Genomic DNA, 19403 nt, shown 5'->3' with positions numbered 1-19403 from the left:
TTTTCCCTAAAGTAGGAATTTTAGGTAGCAGAGGTACTTCTAGTAATTGTATCAATAGGTAGGAAACTTGGGTGTGTTCCTTAATGCTCATGAGGCCTCAATAAAATATTGGGTTTTAATTGGGTGTTCTATCTGAATTTGAGGAAATCATAAAATTATCTTTGTTCTGTAATAACATTAAGATTGTCTTAAGTCTGTCTTGACAGTAGCCAGCTTCAAGGAGAGAAATTATTTGGGATTCAATAATACTTAACAAAATTAAGAGTAGGATATTCAGAGAATGCAGATCACATAATCACCTTCTGACCTCACTCTGTAATTTCAAGCATTCTAGAAATAAAACTGTTCAAAGTGTAGAAAAGGGCTATGTTTCCTTTAAACATCCTTGCAGATGACCAATGTGACAGAGAAAGATGCAGCTTAGGGGACAGTTGGAGAAGGGAGCACATTCCCACACTCTTTGTTAGGAACATGCCAGCTCTCGTCTTCATTTATTCAATATGCTGCAGTCCCAGTTTCTTTCTGAAGCCAGAGCTCATGCTTTTACTCCCAGGTAGCAGCAGCTTTACAATTAAATTTTAATCCGACAGTGTTGTTAGACTCCTATCAAGAGTACAGCCACAGCTGTTCTTGGCAGGCAAATACATTGCTGGTTTTCCTTCAGTCACAGTGAGATAGAAAAATGTTCTCTGTCTAGGGTGTGGACGAAGGCACTTTACTAATCTTATGCATAATTCATCCTTGGTTGCTGGGGCACTCAAAGTTGAAACTTTGCCCTCTGATAAAATTCAGCTGGATGTTTTTTATTTATTAGACTCTGATCCCTTTAGGGGTTTAGCCCTTATTGCGAGCCCAGGGATTCTAATTTGGCTAAGCCCTAGCTGTGAAGACTTTTCTTACTAATTTGCCCTTGGTGAATTTTAGCTCTTGTAATACCACCTTTAAAAAACAAAAAACAAAAACTGCAGTAGAACATGCAGTTCAGAGAGTCCTGGATAACCTGAAAAGAGTCTTCTTTGAATGTTGGCTTATTGAATGGAAGGACTCCAATAGGGCCTGTCTTGATTTGTTTTCAAAGTTTAGATTTGTAAAGAGCCTCAGCAAATTAAAACATGGTTTTAATTGTCCTATAACATGCTAAAATATGGTAATGATTGTCCTATAACATATAACAGGTCTTTGCATTTCAAATTCATTGGGTACCTGTGAAGTATAAAATATAATCCCTGTTCATAAGTAACTCATAGTCTAGTGGTAGGGGGTTTGAGATGGGCATGAAGATGTATTAGTATAAGGTGGAAGCTATTGCCACAATAGATGAGTTCATCCTTGAATATTCATTTATTTGACTGGAAGGGAATGGTGAGTTATTTTCACACGGCTCCCGTAAGATATAGTGACCCAAAAGGTCAGTCTAGACTAATAGATTATGCTTCCTTTCAGAAGAATTTATTCGGTTAGGTCAAGCAAGAACATATAGAAAGAGATATCTTTATTCTTTTCCAAATATGTGATGTGGAGTACTTTCATCTTTATACTCAGCAGCTGGAATTCATCTTTTTGTAAGCAGTGTTATTTATTATAATGTTTATATGAATATAATTTATCAAAAAATGGAGAGCTCCACAATTCAAAATTTAAGAAATGTCTCACCTCAGATTCACAGAGTAATTGCCTTAGACAAAAGCTCTACACTCATACATTTTATATACCTCTTTTATATCCTCTCATTCCTAATAATGACAGATTAATAAGAACTAATAGCCATCCTGGTTTTCAGTATGAAACAATGTGATTTCATGTGAAGAAGAATAGAATAGTAAGAGTTAGGACCAAAATTACTTAGTTCTTTGGGCATGTGAGAGAATAGGAAAGAGCTACCCAGAATTTTCCAGAGCTCACTTGATAATGTCAAGAGCTGCAGCTGGCAGTCACTGATTCTGAAAATAGGCACACATCATGTTAATCAAAAAACTAAATAAAAGGATATTGGGATAAGGCACTAAAATAAAGTTCCTTTTGCCCTTTCTTTATAGCTGGGTTTTGCTGATCAATTCTGCATTTTTTGGCAATTCTACCTCTTTACAGGGAGAACCACCAGTATTATTTTCTCTTTAAGTAACTGAAAAAATATTTCCTATCTTTATTGAGCTGTCTCATTAAAGTAACAGACTAGCTGGATCACTGGGGATATGACTTTGGGATATATGTTTTAAAATAGGCACAGAGGCTGGGTGCGGTGGCTCACTCCTGTAATCCCAACACTTTGGGAGGCCGAGGTGGGTAGATCATCTGAGGTCAGGAGTTTGAGACCAGCCTGGCCAACATGGTGAAACCTTGTCTCTACTAAAAACACAAAAATTAGCCTGATGTGGTGGCAGGCGCCTGTAATCCCAGCTACTCAGGAGGCTGAGGCAGGAGAATTGCTTGAACCTGGGAGGCGAAGGTTGCAGTGAGCCAAGATCACGCCACTGCACTCCAGCCCTAGTGACAGAGCGAGAATCCATCTCAAAAAACAAACAAAAAGGCACAGAACCTCTCCTTGAGTTTATACAAATTAGGCATGTAATCAGTAAATATGGTAAAATATGGTAAAATGTAATCAGTAAATATGGTAAAATGGTAGAAGAGCAGGCCCAAGGCTAAATTCTAAACTACTCATGCAAATATTATAATAATACTAGAGAGTTGTAGAATGTACTGATTAAACTAGTGTTGCAGTAGAAGAAAGGAAGATAAACTATTTGAACAACAACTTGGAGGCAGAAAACTGGGGATTCGGCTTTGGAATTTACTTTATTGGTAATTATTACTTCTCTAGCTTGTCGCTCACTTCTCTGAGCTTGTCACACCTACTGGAATAAGCAGAAATTGTTATTCTTTGCCTAGGTTAACAAAATACACATCTCCAGATAGTAAGTTAGTTGCATGATGGCATCTTCTAATTCAGAGGTCTGATTTGTAGCATATTGGTAAGGAGGCACATTCATATTTCTGGGTGGTAGGGAGCCCACTTTCATCCATTCATCTGCATTCCTGTTCAAACTAGCAACTGTGTCTGCTAACATTAGGTTCCCAGAAAAAAGATGTAAGTAAACCCCAGTTCCACTGAGCTCCTGTGAAGGTACCACCTCCATAGAACTTGGTTGAAAATAATGAGCATAGTTACCTTTTTTTTTTTTTTTTTTTTTAACTTTTATCTTTTGGATGGCATTGAGAGTAACCTTCTGTTTTTTTGGCCTCAAGTTCCATATTGAATTTTTTAAAATTGCATTTTGAGCAATAACATTTCCCTGGTTGCTTAACCAGTTATACAAGTTGAGACTTCTGTCTCTATGCCTATCTTATAATAGCTTCTCTGGGAGAACAGATGAAAAATAAGCCAGTTAGATATTTTATGAGTATTGAAATCCTTTCCATTCAGAAATGTAAATAAAACAACCAGCATGAGCAATCAGCTTATGTCAGATTCCATGGGTTTGTATTACATAGGGAAATTACAGTGCAACCTGAAACATGCTTCTTAATGAATTCATAGTGCTGTCACAGTTGAATGTAAACCCTTGAGCTTTTCTTTTGTGAAGGGTTTCAGAAATCACCCTTTATAAACTACCTAGGGGAGGGAAGAGAACTAAGATGATACTAACAAATGCTATCACTGGTTTTGTGGCTGCCTCCCTTACAGCACCAAATTTTGCCAGTTAAGTAAAGCAGAAACCTAGAATATGGCACACGTTTTGGCTTATTCAGTGTACACACACACACAAACACACAAACACACACACACTCAGTGCCACACTGGGTCAGACCCATAGTTCAATACTCTGTTTCTGAAAGTGGCACCAGGGAACTGCTTTGGAAGAATAAGATTGCCCTTATGGTTTTTATCCTCAGAAGTTAGGGAAGTTTGGTTAAGAAGTATGACAAAAGCCCCATAAGTAGCGATTTTTACCTTTAGCAAATGCAGGAAAATAGACACCTAACTAGAGATCATGAAGTTAGAATTTGTCTCCTTCTTTGGCTGCTACTTCAGCCCCTGGTAGTAAATTAGAATAAAGTTCCTCATTTATTAGTGAGCTGGTTTTGCAGTCTCTAAAGCTCTTTTGCAGCTCTTCTATTCACTATGGCCTCAGATACGATAAATCTGCTAGCTGCAAAAATTCAATATACCAAGTAGAATATGTAGGACCAGTCAAGTTTTAAGTTTGGGAGTGAGGAAAAGCAGCATGTATTTTCTATTTTAAATTATTTTCTTTTCACATTCTAATTTCTTAAGGGTTTGGCTTGATTTATGCCAGGTTCTGGGCCTGTAAGCCTACATTAATGTATCACAGTACTGGATAGGATATTTGATATCTCTTACTTAGCCCAGAATCTCAAATGATAAGGAGCTGTAGTTAATGATATGTAGCATTTTGTTGAACTTTACAGTGTAGATCTCTGTTAGTCCCTGGGTCTGTAACAAATGGACTCATCCTTGTGCTTTTCCATAGGTGCCCTGATGTTTACTGACATAAATCAAGATACTATGTGGCTCTATAGGGGATGCTGAACCATTTGACAGTCTAGGTGCACACAGTCACCTCACATTATTTAAGCCCTGATCTCAGCATTCTAATTTCTCTGTATTCCCCAGTGTATATAATGTGTACTTGCTTGAAATTCCTTATATATTGCTTGTACATTCCTGCTTCTAAGTTTCAGCACATACCAGTTCCCTCTATTTAGAATGCCTTCTTCTGACTGCCCTCAGTCAGTTCATAAAACACATAAAGCTATCTTTTAAAAATTCAACTCAAAAGTCACCTCCTGTGGAATGCCATCTCTGCTTAATCTCATTAACCTAATTCCTTTATTCTCAGACTTCTGCTTCCTAGTCCATTAAACTGTTTCATTTTATTGTAATTGTTGCTTCTGTATATTGTCACCCAGTAAGCATAATTATTCTAGGAATGATCATCTTCCTCCAGCCTCTTGTGTCTACTTATTACACACAAATATTTTGAAGGCCTATTGATGACCTTTTCAGTTTCCCCAGAGTTCCAGTTCACCTTCCTTACTGTTTCCTTTTACTTCATAGTTACATTCCTAAAGAAGCAGCGCATGTGTTCAGGGTTGGCCTCCACCTCAGCATGTGTGTGGCAGCCTGCTGAATAGATCCCTACAATTGGGAAGGAGTTAACCCTCTAGCTTGACAATCTCTGCATTCTACTTAGACACCTTCAAGAAGTAGATGTGAGACCAGGAGTAGACCTGAAAATGGGAGTAGGTAAATTTCCACGGAAAGCCAAGTTAGCTTTTTCCTTCCTTTATACACAAGACCTATGAAGCTGCTGTCATCAGCAGCTCATTCAACACTCTCCTGCTCTGCCTCTTTTCCAGGAGTCAGGGTTAGTTTAAGAAAAAGCCTCTTGCAAGAAGCCATGACCTCGTACTTTTATCCCCTCCATCTGGTGTGTGGCCTCATGGGGCTGTGCTGCTATGCAGGAGGTGAGCAATGGAATTCTTTAGATGATGACTTCTGAGCCCACATGCAGAGGCAGTTGGGGGTGGGAAGCAGGGAGAACAGTGAGAGCCAAGATCGATGGACCAAAAAATAAAGTCTGCCTTGGGGAAGTCCTGACTATAGGTAGACTGTTTTCATGAGGTGTTCTTCTCCTAGCTCAAGTAGGGGCCCAGGTCAGGGAGCTGCAGCATCCCAGAGCTATGATTGATGAACATTGTACTTTTCCCTTCTGTCTTAACAGTTGGGGTGCAGGATTAGGATAGGTAGCCTATGCTGTCTCTAACAGAAAACATTACAGGATTGAACAGAAGAGTTCCCCTTGCATACGTCATCTTTTGGAGCTGCTCTTACTCACTGTCTTGCGCCTAAACAGAGGTCCAGATTTTGGATGGGAAAACAAAGAGGGGTTGAGAGCAGCAAGTGTTTGATCAAGTGAAAATCTGCTGTCTGCCTCATCTCATGGGTTTCTCTGCAGGATTGAGACCCCTTGCCTTGGTGTACACAAATTGCTTGCATCAGCTTGAGATCCCAGGACCTTTGCCAGGCCACGGGTAGGCATCTGTCTGGCTTGGGATGGGAGTTTCTTAGGACACTTATTCCCTCATCTTGCTTTCCTAACCCAGGAGTTGACGTCATTTTTAAAAGGAGTGAAATCTCAAAGAAAATTCTAATACATACCTTCTTTTTTTTTTTTTTTGTGACGGAGTCTCGCTCTGTCTCCCAGGCTGGAGTGCAGTGGTGCATCTTGGCTCACTGCAAGCTCTGCCTCCTGGGTTCACGCCATTCTCCTGCCTCAGCCTCCCCAGTAGCTGGGACTACAGGCGCCCGCCACCAGGCCCGGCTAATTTTTTTGTATTTTTAGTAGAGACAGGGTTTCACCGTGTTAGCCAGGATGGTCTCAATCTCCTGACCTCGTGATCTGCCCCACCTCGGCCTCCCAAAGTGCTGGGATTACAGGCATGAGCCACTGCACCCGGCCTCTGATACATATTTTCAAAGCCTTAATAATTTTCTGTCATGACTACTTCTACTGTGTCTATACATTTAGCATAATTTCAAAAGGACTAGATAAAATTTTTAATGTTAATCTGAAGGGGAAAAAAGGAGTAGAATTAGGAGCCAGAGTTGTTTAAATGTGGAATATGTTGTATAGTGGTCACATGGTACTGGTGGTAATAGTGGCAGAAATGGCAAAAGAGCCATTGGTTGATAAGGTTCAGGAGGGCCTAGGCTGTTCCTTTGTAAACTGTGCTCAGATATACTCTCTTGGCTGTCCTGGGACTCCTACAGGGCTTGAACATTTTGTATCAATTTCTGTTTTGAAGGTGCTGGGACTCTGGTGCCCCCAACCCTGGGCATCCTCAGGCTTTGAGGAGAATACACAGGATTTGAAGTCAGAAGACCTAGGTTTGAGTTCTGGCTGAGCCACGCACTGTTCATGTGACCTTGGACAAATCACCAAATTTTTCTGAACAGCATCTGTAAAGTGACAGTAACCCCTACCTCACAGGGTTGTTGTGAGGATTACATATATGCTAAAGCATTTTGCATATGAAAAAGCTTCTTATGAATATTGTTATTCCTAGGCAAACCCCCCTTGGAAGCTGTCAAAAAGGACAACTGTAGATGAAATTGTCTTCCTTTTTTCTTCATTCAGCTTAGCCTTTCTGTTTGGCCAGGGCTACTTACAGGGGCTGTTGGGGTTGAAGTCAAGTCACCGCATTTTGGCTCCTTTGGTCAAAGAGAAAGAACTCTAATGTCCAGCTGCTCCATCGATATACTCATAGAATGGAAGTGAGCAAAGGAAAATTTTAAGCCAGGATAGTTAACCGTTAGGGGGCCAGTGGGAGAATGCTTGCCTTGCATTTGCACATCCAGAATGACTAAAACATCTTAAGTAAATGAGGAATAGCCACCGAGATGCTCAGAGATAATATAAGCCATGAGTGGGAAGTGGGAAAATGAGTTTGTCAACGCCCTCTCTTTTCTATCCCTTTACCTTTGAGGTCAGGGACAGGGCATATTACTGACACCCCACTGGCTATTGCCCTATACCTGCCAATCACCCAAAGAAAATAATAGCTTCTGAGAAAGCTCAATTCACTGTAGCAACTGTGATATATTTACCCTAATAAAGCCACCACTTGGTCTTTTCCAGTGCTTCTCTCTTATGGAGATCATCCCTGGAATCCAAAGCTCTCCAGTTTTCTAACCCAGTTAAGAGTTAAAAACAACCACAGGTCATGAGCAGTAGGCTTGGCAGTTATACCCCATGCAGTCATAGGAGACTGCTCCATCATTCTCAGCACATAGGGTGCACATCTCACTATCTCTGGCATGAACCAGCCTTGCGAACTTATACAGTCTCAGCCACTCTGCTTTGATGGTAATTCTTCACCACTGATCTCTCCTCACCATGCCCTTCCTGCATCCTTCCCCCAACCACCCACCAGAGGAGTTCTGGTCCCCAAACCAAAGAGTTGCCTGCAGGTTGGTAATGTGACTTTGTAGATATTCCTTGATTAAAGCCAGACCCTATTGGTATCCTTTTTGAAGTACTGGATCGAAATCTAATTGCTTTTTTTTTTAATTGTTGGGGAGAGGAGGATGAGCAGAACTCCTATGCAGCCTGAGAGAAGTTCTCTATGTGTCTGTATATGTACACCTCTGTGTGTGTGTGTGTAACCTCATGGTTGTGCTCAGGCTGACAGGGAGGGCAAAGAGTGAAAAGGAAGCATCTCTTTCTTGTTATCCAACATTGCTTCAAAGATGCCCAACCCCCGTAGTAGCAGGCAGTTCCCAAGTGGAGGGTCGGGGCAGAGGCCTCCACCAAGGCCATCAATAACCAGGTGTGAGCTACAGGTCTCTGTGTAATGTGAAGCTCTCCCGTATTTCATTTCTGCACCCAGGGGGCGGCTCTGCAGGATTGCTTACGGAGAACTCTGTGTCTGGCACCTCTCTCCACAAGGCCCAGGCGCCCAGGGTCCCACCGACCTGCCCAGGAATGCATCACATTGTTCTCTGGTGCTGTAATTTGGCTGCAGGAGCTAGGCTGAATGCCTCCCAGGGATGAGAAACATACTCTCCCTGGCGTCCTCCCTTCGCCCCAGCTAGCTTGAGCTTCTGCCCTATGACCACTGAGTGCATTTAAATAAAAACCTCAGAAAGACTGAGGAAAAAAAAATCCTAATTATCTCTCTTCTGTTAAGCCATGTAGAGACTCGTGTCCTGAGTGGGTCTGAGAATTTGGCAAAGACTTACTGGTTGGTGTTCTTGATAAGGGAAGTGAGACAAAGGAGAAGAAATTACTCCCTGCAACAGGAGGAATAGAAATGAAGCAGTGAGTGTTCAGAAATTAGATCTACAAGAAGTTTTGCAAACAGACCCTCAGGGCCAGGCAATGTTTGTTTTTGTTTTTTGTTTTTTGTTTTTTTTTTTAATCTGAAGCCCCTGATTTTATTTTTCCAGCATCACTCTAAGGAAGAGTGTGGATTAGTGCCATTATTCAGGGCTGGTATTAATAAAAGTTAGCTTTTATCTGCAGGGCTAGGTTAAGGCTGGCATTCTTACTTTTACATTAAAAAAACTGGCTACAGGCTGCGCAGCTGAGGTACTTCAGTCATGTGCCTTCTCTAAAGGATTCTTAGATCCTTAAAATATATAGTATGTTTTAAGTTTGTATCTAAATAGCACTTACTGTAATGTATTATACCTAAATGTTTATTAAAAGTTAGAAGAAATGAGTACCAACAGGAAGGAATGGAAGAGAGGAGAGGGGCTAAGACATTGCTGATCTGAGGGACAGACCTCTATCAAATAGAAGAGGGCTGGGAGAAGGGGTGATTAGAAGCAGAGTGAGGGAACTAAATGGAGCCCTGACTGCACCAAATAAAGTTCTCATTTTGCTGCTTGTTCCAAATAAATTAGTGTCTATTTGTGTAATGCAGACTAAATGCCAGTTGTGTAAAGCCAATCAATGCAGAAGCAAGCTAAGAACTAGGAGGAAAAATTAATTGCTTGGCCATCATTCCTTTTGGGACCACATAACCTCCGTGGTGGGGCTCAAATGGACATCATTTCTCTCTTATGCACCTCTCTTTTCAAACTTCTCACTCTCTGGACAGCTTGCTCTTTTCTTAACCATTTATAGGAAATTGCAAAACTTGCATCTTTATGAGCTAGAATTTGGAGCCCAAGGAAAAGCACAGAGTAGCATGAGATGCCAGAAGAGGCCCATTTCCTTCCACAGGGATGAGAACCAAAAACCAAAGAATAGAGAGTAGGGTATAGGTAGATTTAAGTCAGGTTGACGTCCTATGGAAGGCATATGCCATTATTTATGTGGTAACCTGCATGTTCTTGTGAGAACAGGGGCTGGCCAGGACCTGAGGCTTTCCCCAGCAGCCTGGCATATAATATAAGGCAGCTTCCTTTGGTAAATTCATTCAGCCCTATTGTTGAGTTCAGACTGACCATGACCCCCTTACCTCTCCACTACCCCAAAGCTTTCCTCAAGATGTCAGCTGTTCTCTTCCCCTCCCATTTCCCCCTCCTTAATCCCACCATTGGCTCATCAGTTATCCAGTTGACTCCATTCTGAAGGAAGACATTCTCTTGGCCTGACTCACTCAGGCCCATTTCTCCACAGGCATCCCCTTACCGCAGACCACAAGGGCCCTGACTAGCTCATGTTTTGTGTTAATGGATGTGAAACCAGAGCAAATCCCCTCACCAAAAGAAAAACCACCCTAAACTCTCCCACACAGGTCTCAGCAGGTTACACAAATATTAGTCCTATCATCCAAATAAATCTGCCCCCGTGGCCCAGAGCTATGGCTCCCCCAACCTCCTGCTGCCTGTGCAGAGTGAAGCTGCTTCAAAAACATGAGGACCCCAAGGGATATTGGAGAGGAACTTTGGAAAGACAGGGGCCTGTATCCAGAATTCTTTATGCAGGCTCCTTAATCTACAGACTTTTGTTAATACTTTATAGTCCTAAAGAAGGACTGTTCCTAGAGAAGTCATGATGGGCTAGACCAGCCAGGGGCTTTGGTGAAGAGGATCTGCGGGCTGGAGTTTGGTGCATAATTAAAACTCAGCGTCTGACAGCTGGGCACAGTGGCTTGCGCTTGTACGCCCAGCACTTTGGAAGGCTGCAGTGGGAGGATTGCTTGAGACCAAGAATTCAAGACCAGCCTGGGCAACATAGTGAGCTCCATCTCTGAAAACTATGTTTAAATTAGCTGGGCATGATGGCATGGCCCTGTAGTCCCAGCTAATGGGGAGGCTGAGGTGGGAGGATTGCTTGAGCCTGGGAATTTGAGGCTGCAGTGAGCCATGATCATGCCAGTGCACTCCAGCCTGGGCAACAAAGCGAGACCCTATCTCTAAAAGAAATAAAAAGAAAGAAAAAAAAGAACAGGTACGTATCCTCATTTTACAGATGAGAAAATAGAAGCTCAGAAAATTTAGCTACCTTGCTCAAAATATCAAAGCAAATGGCACAGCTGTGATTTTTAACCCGGGTCTGTCATAACCGCAAATTTCTATACCACTCTGCTGCTTTAAGATATCAACAGGCAAAAGATAACCACTGTCCAACTCACATAAAAATAGGACATCAAGTTTTGGGGGACTTCATGTCCTACCTCCAGCTTACTAAGCCTGCTATCTCTGGAGATTCCACTACTGCAAACCTAGTTAGGCAATGGGTAATAGCATTACCCATTAAGCCAAATGTGGAGTGAACAATAATAATAATCACTAGGACTTGGAGAGTCACTAAATAAAGATTTGTTGAGTAAGTGGAGGAAGGCTGCCTTCTAAGCTGTGTATCACTTTGGCCCCAACCTGCAGTACTCCTTCCCACTGTAGCCACTGACTCCTGCTCCCAGCTTCAAAGGCTAGGATCCTCTCATAAAGAATTACCAAAGCCAGAGATCCCTACCTGCCTAATATATACTGATGCCTCATGTGGGCCCTTGAGATCAGACCTGCTTACCTGCTCTCCCACCATCCATGAGTTGCCTATCTTTCTTTTACTCCATGTCTCCCCAAACCTGGCAAACCTCCAGAATAGTGCATGGGAAGAGAAGAAAAGAAAAGAAAAAAAAAAAAAAAAAAAAGGCAACACAAGGCCTAGCCAGACTTACTACATTAATCTATCCTAGGAGTGTTCTAGGGTGTTTTAATGATTTGTTAAGCATGGGAACCACTGCATTCCACCTCAGTTTGAACAGGCAGCAAGTAAGCAAAAGAGGCAGTGCTGTCCAATACAGGTTGAGAATGGTAGAGAGAAAAAGAGAGAATGAATGTGTGTTTGTATTGTTATGATTCTTTTTCTTCTACAAAACACAGTTTATAAACATATGAGCATGTGAATGGAACCTTGTCCACTATGGCTAACATCTCAGGCTCTCAATAATAGAATGTGGTAGCCTAAGATTTTCTTTCGGGGTACCAGGTAGTTCTGCTCAAACGGACTTCAGAGAAGGGACATGCCATTCATCTTTGTCCCATCTAACTTTGGCCAGGTAGAAACAAAAAGAAGCTCTCTACAGGTACCCTTCCTCTTGCACACCAAGAAGTATCGGGAAGCTGGTGCAAAGGAAAGAAAAAAGGAGCCTCAACTACGTACTTTAGTGCAACTCATTTCACTCTAAAGACCCCCTATCTCTTCTACTCTCCCTTCAAATCTCCAGAGCGGGAAATCAGGGAGCTTGCTCAGTTTCTTATATCCCCTGACAACTCCTTCCCAGGGCTAAGGAACCAGCCAGGACACCATGGTCCCTATGGATTACTCTCTACATCCTTAAATAGAAGCGGTAGCAGCCCAGGGTGGAGGGTGGAGGAAGGTGTGCATGCAAGGATCTTGTGCTTTTGAGTTGAGAGGCTTGAATTGGAGGGATGAGTGAGGTATCTGTGTGTTCAGGTTTGGTCCAGCCACTCTGCCTTCTTGGGGGCTTTGCAAGTATGGACGTCCACAGTATTTCTGCATTCCTTGCACCGTACAGCACAGCACCAGTGGAATTTGCACTCACACTGGGTAACACGGGTGACTCGAGTTGTGTCGTACCCTCGGCCACAGCACATGATTTCACAACCGTCTGTTCCTTTTGATGTCTTGCTGCAGACACGGCCTGCAGTGCCTAGGGAACCTGGGTTGGGGAAGAGAGGGAGTGAGAACAAAGTTATCTCTTCAGCTGCCCTGGATACCCTTAACCACATTCTCAGAAGGAAGATAAAAAGAATCGCTTTTTTGGGCTGGGCACAGTGGCTCACTCATGCCTATCATCCCAGCATTTTGGAAGGCCAAGGCAGAAGGAATCCTTGAGTCCAGGAATTCAAGACCAGCCTGGGAAACATAGCAAGCCCTGTCTCTACAAAAACTTAAAAAATTAGCCAGGTGCCATGGGCATGAGCCTGTAGTCCTAGATACTCAGGAGGCTGAGGTGAAAGTAACACGAGGCTGGGAGGTCGAGGCTGCAGTGAGCCAAGATTGCACCACTGCACTCTAGCCTGGGTGACAGTGAAACTCTGTCTCCAAAAAAAAAAAAAAAAAAAAGAAGCATGGGCTCTGACATCATCTTGTCTGGATTCAAATCCCAGTTCTACCACTCTTAGTTGTGTGATTTAGTCAAAATGAAACATTAACTTAGTTTCTCATATGAAAATAAGCACAATAATAGATTGTTAGATATAATCTCTGTTCATCTGAAGAGGTGAACTGATTACCATGACTGGCTGGAGGCATATTCCTAAGGAATTCCTAAGTAATATCCCTTGCATTATTATTATTGCTATTATCCCTAAGCATTATCCCTTCCCCTTACAGTGGAAACTCTAGGATAGGGATCATGTTTTCCCCATGCATAGGGAATGCTTAGAACCTCATTCTGACTGATTTTAGCAAAAGAGATCCTGCCAACAGATCATAAAATCAATAGACTTTTGGATGAGTTGGGCCCATGAGAGCATCTACTCCAAGCTTTTCCATGGTTAATAAGAATCCAGAGATGGGAAACTGACTAGCCTAGGTTCAAAACGGAGAATAGATTAACTGATTTCTACAGAATTAGTCTCCAAATGTCACTGGGATACGGGAGGAAAATGCTAGAACTTCTATGTTTTTTATCTCATCAATTTAAAATATTTACGTTTTATAATATACATATTCATATAGTGGAACACAGGTATAAATAAATATACATATAATGGAGATATATGCTCAAATTGTTTTAATGATAGGAGTAAAGGATCCAGAATGTTAGGAGACCACTGGTCTGGAATGTGGACTGACTAGGTCTACTGTATATGTTAGTCTCCTAACTCCAAGGGCTGGGTCTTAAGTCCTCTTGGGCACCAAAAACCCCTTCTACACTGTGGAGCTGTGCTGTCCAGGGTAGCAGCCACTAGTCACATATGGTCTTTTACATCTAAATTAATGAAAATTAAACTAAAAAATTTAGCTCCTCAGTCACACTAGTTATATTCCAAGTACTCAGTAATCACATGTGGCTAGTTGCTACTGTATTGGACAACAGAGATAGGAAAACATTTCTATCATCACAGAAAGTTCAATTGGACTCTATTGCTTTGGAGGGAATTCCTGGCTCCATATTCTTTCTGGGATGACTTATATTCTTTGAATTCCAGGGCCCACTTTGGGTTTTAGGAGGCCTAATTTTATGCCTCTGAGAAAAACGAACACACATTTGACTTATCCTCCCTCCTAACTCCAAAGTTCCTTCCCTAAAGGTGTATTTTCAGTATGGTAGTATAGGTTTACACCTCAGATGTTATGGAATTATTTCTAGGTATCCAGAGAGTGACCCTCTGAATTAGACCAAGTGGGAGGAAAGTATACTTAGTGGCAGGAAATCACTAGGAAAATCAGAAGGGCTCCAAGTTTTTTTCTTCTAGCACCCTACAAAGTATACAGACTACTTTCTTCATTAATTGGGTAGAGCCCCACCCTTTTTCTGTGCCCAGTTTTACTCCAAGCCACTTGACTCTTCCAGGAATGACAGTGATGGGTGAAAACAAACAGTACCGAAGATAGCTGAGGTTTTTTGGCTCCACTTCACCCAAGTCCTGACGCTGAGCCTGTAGAAAAGAGCCTGGGAGCCCCACAGCAATAACCAGAGGAGAAGAGTTCTGCTGCATTGCATGTTCCTAGTTTAACCTATCTGAACCAGAAATGTGAGCCAGGATGGTAACTTTCATTCCCTTGGGGAAAAACCATATCAACTTCCAGCACCTCCAAGAATCCCACCACAAATACCTCGAACAGACTGAAAAACAACCATTTGCTGCTTTACCTGCCTTTGGTAGGGATCTCTTCTTCGTTTCTTTTTCAGCTGTTTCAGAATCTTCAATGGCAGCACACTGGATAAAGCCTTTCAAGGACATCTTTCTAGCTTTAATCTCCCTTAGAGAGAACCTTTACCCAGCAGATTGGTCTGTTCTCTGTCCCTGGGACAGATCATGTGCTTTCCCACCTACTACTCTCTGATAAGAAATTGCCCACTCGTCTCTCAAGCTATCCAGATACTCCCTACACTTCAAGGAGCAGCTTAAATTCTAGTTTCTTTTTTTTCCCTACATTTTCAAATAAACTTTATTGATTTCTCCATCTCTCTTTGCATTTGTCTACCCATTATGTCTCATTTCTTTAAGTAGATTGCGAAGAGCCAAAGGCTTAGGGCTGCATCTTATGTTTCTGTGCAGCCCACACATTGCTTAAAACTGAAAACAGGTAACTAAGTTAAACATACCCTGAATAATGCCTACTGTATCCCAGATGCTGGGATACAAAGGAGCGATGCATGACCTCAGGCCTCAAGGAGCTGAGTGACCTCCTCTCTACTTGGGCAGCACTGGGCCTGGTGGACTGCAACAATCTCATGACCAGGTGTTCATGTGGAGAGGAAACTGCCTCCTCCCACAGCACCCCCTTCCCTAACTCCTGAGACTGAACAGACCATGATTAACCAGGGGTGCCTGCACTAAGAACTGGGACTGCATGTCCCTGCCTGCCTTCCTTACTCACCTGCAGCCTTGTCCAAGACACAGTAATCTGGAGAGTTGTCAAAGTAGACAAGATCAGTCCGGGTGGCACGGCGATAGCCTTGGCGGGCTGCGGTGAAGTTGGCACCATCTTGGGTGGCCATCACCTGCACAGCCCCATCATAGCGTCGCCGCAGGTAATCACCTGTGCGGCGGAAATCTGAGAGTGCACGCCAGCAGGTGCGCAGAGTACAGGAACCACTCACGCCATGGCACTTACACTCCAGCTTCAGAAACCGCCGCACAGCCTGGGGGAGGGGGAAGGCAGTTAAGGGAGAAGTAGCTGGTCAGGACACATTTTAGTCATCCCTAGGTCCAAAAGGATGAGTGCTCTGAGATAGGCTGGACCTGGCCCTGGCTGGCCGATTGAGCTCTCGGTTCTCTCCCACATCAGATCCCACCCATTCTTCCTGATCAAGTTCAAGAAACTCTTTTTCCAGGAAATCTGCCTGAACCAACAGTGCTTTCCTTTTCATGACAGCCCACTGAACTGTAGAGCCACAGGATTCTGTTCACGATGACAGTGTGCTTGCACATCCTCTACTTTTCACGTTTTAGAGTGCCAGGTACCATGCCTTCTACTTTAGTGGTGTGCCATTTTCCAGCATAGTACTAGGCACATAGAAGATGTTCAAATACCAGGGAACTGACTAGAACAACCTCTTATCCTCTCAGTCTTTATGAAGGCAGTTCTTTTCCTTCTTAAAAAGTTACTTCTTTTCTCCACCTTTTCCTACTTTCCACCTATGTGAAGACTCTTCACGCACCTGATTGACCCTAGGCATTCCTAAGCTCCCTTGCATTTAGTTCTCCTGTCCCAGGATGTTGGGGCTTTTGGAAGTGACCCAGAAGCCTTCAGCTCTTCCATCTTCACATTTATTTAGTCCATGGTCACACACACTGGTCACCCCCAGCAAATATGAGTGTACTTACACAGACATGAGTACTGACCGTGCGACCACAGCGGTTATTATGTAAGTTCATGAGGGCCCGGGCATCCTTAAGCCTCTTCTCCTTGGCATCCACGAAGGCCTTGGCAAAACGGACACCGTAGTGGATGTTGTCACTGCAGCCACCCCAGTCAAAGTCCCCACGCTGGTCATGGTGTCGGCCACGGGTGTAGGGGTCACAGCTGCACACACTCAGTTCACCCTGGCTACAGGCGCGAGTAATAGCGTGGACTACCCCTGCTGATGAGATGGCATATACAAAAGCTGCCTCTCGGCTACCTAGAGAGAGAATTGTAGAGGTGTGCTTCAGGAAAGAGGCCCATGTCTGTCCCCTTCTTCAGCCCATACAACCTCTGACTCTGAAACCTCTTCCCTAATTTTCTTTCCCAGAGTCACCCCTACACCCCCTTTATTCAAGGTGCCTTTCATTTCCAAGAGCATTCCCCAGAGTATCTGACCTCTTCCCCTCAGCCCTCACTACTCTCTATCCACTTCTTTGTATATCTGACCTTTTGAGCTGACCTATACTCTTGTTTCCTGCCAAATTCCCTGTGTCCATCCATTGAAAAGTCTCCTGGTGAATCATCCCCTCCCACTGAGTGCCAGCACTGGCTCAGCTAAGCCTGCCTTAGTCCACATTCCAGGCCTTTTCAGGCCCACTCTGCTGGACAGTTCCCCCACAATGGAGACCCCAGCCCAGGGGTCAGCCTGTTTAGAGATCCATGCTACCCTCCCTTGCCTGCTTGCTCTCCCTCCCTGCTCTTGGAGACTGATGAATTATCGCCCCTGTATGCCTGACACCTCCAGATTCCCATCTTGTTCCCTTTCTCCTAGTTTACTGTCTAGCTCTATTTAGCTTTTTTGCTGAGCTGAGGCCAAGCCACTGACTCTCCAAATATTTACATATCACCTTTCTGTTTATCTTTTGTTCCCATTACTGTAGTGTTGGGAGTGTTGGGGTGACGATAGTGATGGTGGTGTTAAGAACAGAGGGCCTATCATAGACCTCAGCCTTACAGTACATGGTAGCCTCCCAAGCTGGGGATTGGGGAGGACAAGGAAAATGAGGGAGAAAGATGGAGGTTCTAGGGAATGCTTTACCTTGGTCTTGTCCCAGAGCACTAAGATTTAGAGGAGCCCCTGTCTACAAATCTAAGATGCTAAGAGTCTGTTCCCAATTATATCCTGGGCTCTGCCCACAGTTCTTTCTCTGATGATGAAACAGTGTGTGGGAGAGGAGAGGGGAGATCTTGCCTACTCTTCCCACTCACCACCCCCAGCACAGAAAGGGAAGGAGCTGACACAGGATGGAAGAGGCTCTTACTTCTGAGCATGACACGGCCAAAGACGGTGTGGTCCCGGTCCAGGGTGGTACAGTTCCAGCGGTGGTGGCGGAATTGGTGCTGACACTCTCGGATCCATTCTCGGGCACCCTCGCCCACTGAACGCATGATGTCTGGGTAACGCTGGCACAGCTGCCGCTGCCGGCTCACCAAACCAGGGATATTGTCACAGATCACTCGTGCCCCCAGTGCCCCAATGTACCTGCAAGGCAGAGATGGCCCTGTCAGAACATCCCAGACCTTTTTCTGCATTGGGAGGGAATAAGGAAGGGGTACGTTTAGCATCCAGACCTTGAAGAGATTCTGTCCCCTCTCCCTAACCCACATTCCATAAAGCTGATGAGTAGAACCATTTCCCACAGTTCTGAAGAAGTATTAATAGTTATACAGTTGCAGAGAGAGTAATTGAGTGGCCTCCCACCATCACCAGTTCCCCAGCCAAAGGCCAAAGTGACATACACTCCCAGAACACAGGCTAGGCATGTGTCACATACACAGAAGCTGTGGGCATGTCACACAAACTCATTGTCTGTTTATTTAATAAACATTAAGAGCTTCATGGAAACATAAACTAACAAAATAAGGGTCTGAGACAACACTCTTATGCTCCCATTAAGAGGGATGTCCCGCATGGCTGGTCCACGAAGATATGGTTTGACAGCAGGGGGGTGGTGACAGGGAGGGGCTCGTGGGAAGAGACATAGTGAGCAATCTGAGTAACGTTTACAGCTCTAGTCAGACCCGTGTAGCTAAAAAAAATCCTCATTCCCAATCGTGAGGTCCGGGGAGGAAGACCCCACCCTCTACTCTCCTCCTCAAACCCTTTATTTCCAGGCCCCAGGGCCTTTCTTAACTAATGAACCTTTTAAAACCATCTTCCCCAACCTGGATGGACCTGCAAGGGCTGTCTGCAGTGGGAAGCCAAAGGCCAAGATAAGTAAGAGGATGACTCTCCCCACACTGCAGTCTCCAGTCTGTCCAATATGAACAATTAAAAGAAGGTCAATTGAGATGGGCTACTAAAGAATAGGTGGGTTGCCAGAGTCATTATTGTTTCTCAAGGCAATATTTTCTCTTCACTCAGTTTTAACCCTGGATCCCACCACAAGCCTCAGGAAGAATATTTCAGAGAGAAAACAGGAGTATATCACCCTTCTTCCCCAAGAGGCCACCAAATGAGATCTGACCCATTCACCCACTTCCTCCAGCTCAACAGCCCAGCTCCACTTGTCATTCTCTTTCTCTCCCTTTAACCCCATAGCACCTTCCTTGATTTGCTGGGAACTTTTTATTCTCCTGTCCAGAACGCATCAAAGGGCTGCCCTCCCTCCCCTGTTTTGAACAGGTGGGGCCATGGAGAGCAATTGTTACTGCAGACAGAAAAGACTTGGTTTGAGCTATGAATGAGCCTGTGGTTTGGGAACGGCCCCAAAATGGGCCTAGAAGTGGGTGAGGAGAAGGGAGGGCAGCTGGTGTGGGGAGGGGAAAAGCTAGACTGCCCTGGGCTCTGTGTCCCCCCCCACCACCCCCCTGCAT

At 43.9% G+C, this 19403-nt stretch overlaps 2 protein-coding genes across 22 annotated transcripts in view; one reads left to right on the top strand and one right to left on the bottom strand.

The window, feature by feature from the left end:
• Positions 1–15140, top strand: part of ST7L (suppression of tumorigenicity 7 like) — a 101882-nt gene extending 86742 nt beyond the window's left edge. For 15 of the 19 annotated variants that reach the window (XM_011541631.4, XM_047423352.1, XM_047423341.1 and 12 more), the window contains one exon: positions 6832–9429. In XM_011541631.4, the coding sequence (XP_011539933.1) occupies positions 6832–6930 (99 nt within the window). In that variant the 3' untranslated portion in view covers positions 6931–9429. Of the gene's footprint in view, positions 1–6831; positions 9430–14526 lie in introns of those variants that run through there. The other 4 variants (XR_007061293.1, XR_007061292.1, XR_007061291.1 and 1 more) reach the window with 1 other exon arrangement.
• Positions 2778–19403, bottom strand: part of WNT2B (Wnt family member 2B) — a 63625-nt gene continuing 46999 nt past the window's right edge. For 2 of the 3 annotated variants that reach the window (NM_004185.4, NM_001291880.1), the window contains 4 exons: positions 17849–18069; positions 16526–16803; positions 15558–15822; positions 11655–12663 (listed from right to left, as the gene is read on the bottom strand). In NM_004185.4, coding sequence (NP_004176.2) covers positions 12434–12663; positions 15558–15822; positions 16526–16803; positions 17849–18069 — 994 coding nt within the window. In that variant the 3' untranslated portion in view covers positions 11655–12433. Of the gene's footprint in view, positions 12664–15557; positions 15823–16525; positions 16804–17848; positions 18070–19403 lie in introns of all 3 variants that reach the window. The other variant, NM_024494.3, reaches the window with a different exon arrangement.

Source organism: Homo sapiens, chromosome 1 (genome assembly GCF_000001405.40).
Source record: "Homo sapiens chromosome 1, GRCh38.p14 Primary Assembly".
In the NCBI taxonomy this organism is placed as follows: Eukaryota; Metazoa; Chordata; class Mammalia; order Primates; family Hominidae; genus Homo; species Homo sapiens.
The sequence above is the reverse complement of the archived record's forward strand: the minus strand, read 5'-3'. Positions and strand labels throughout refer to the sequence as shown.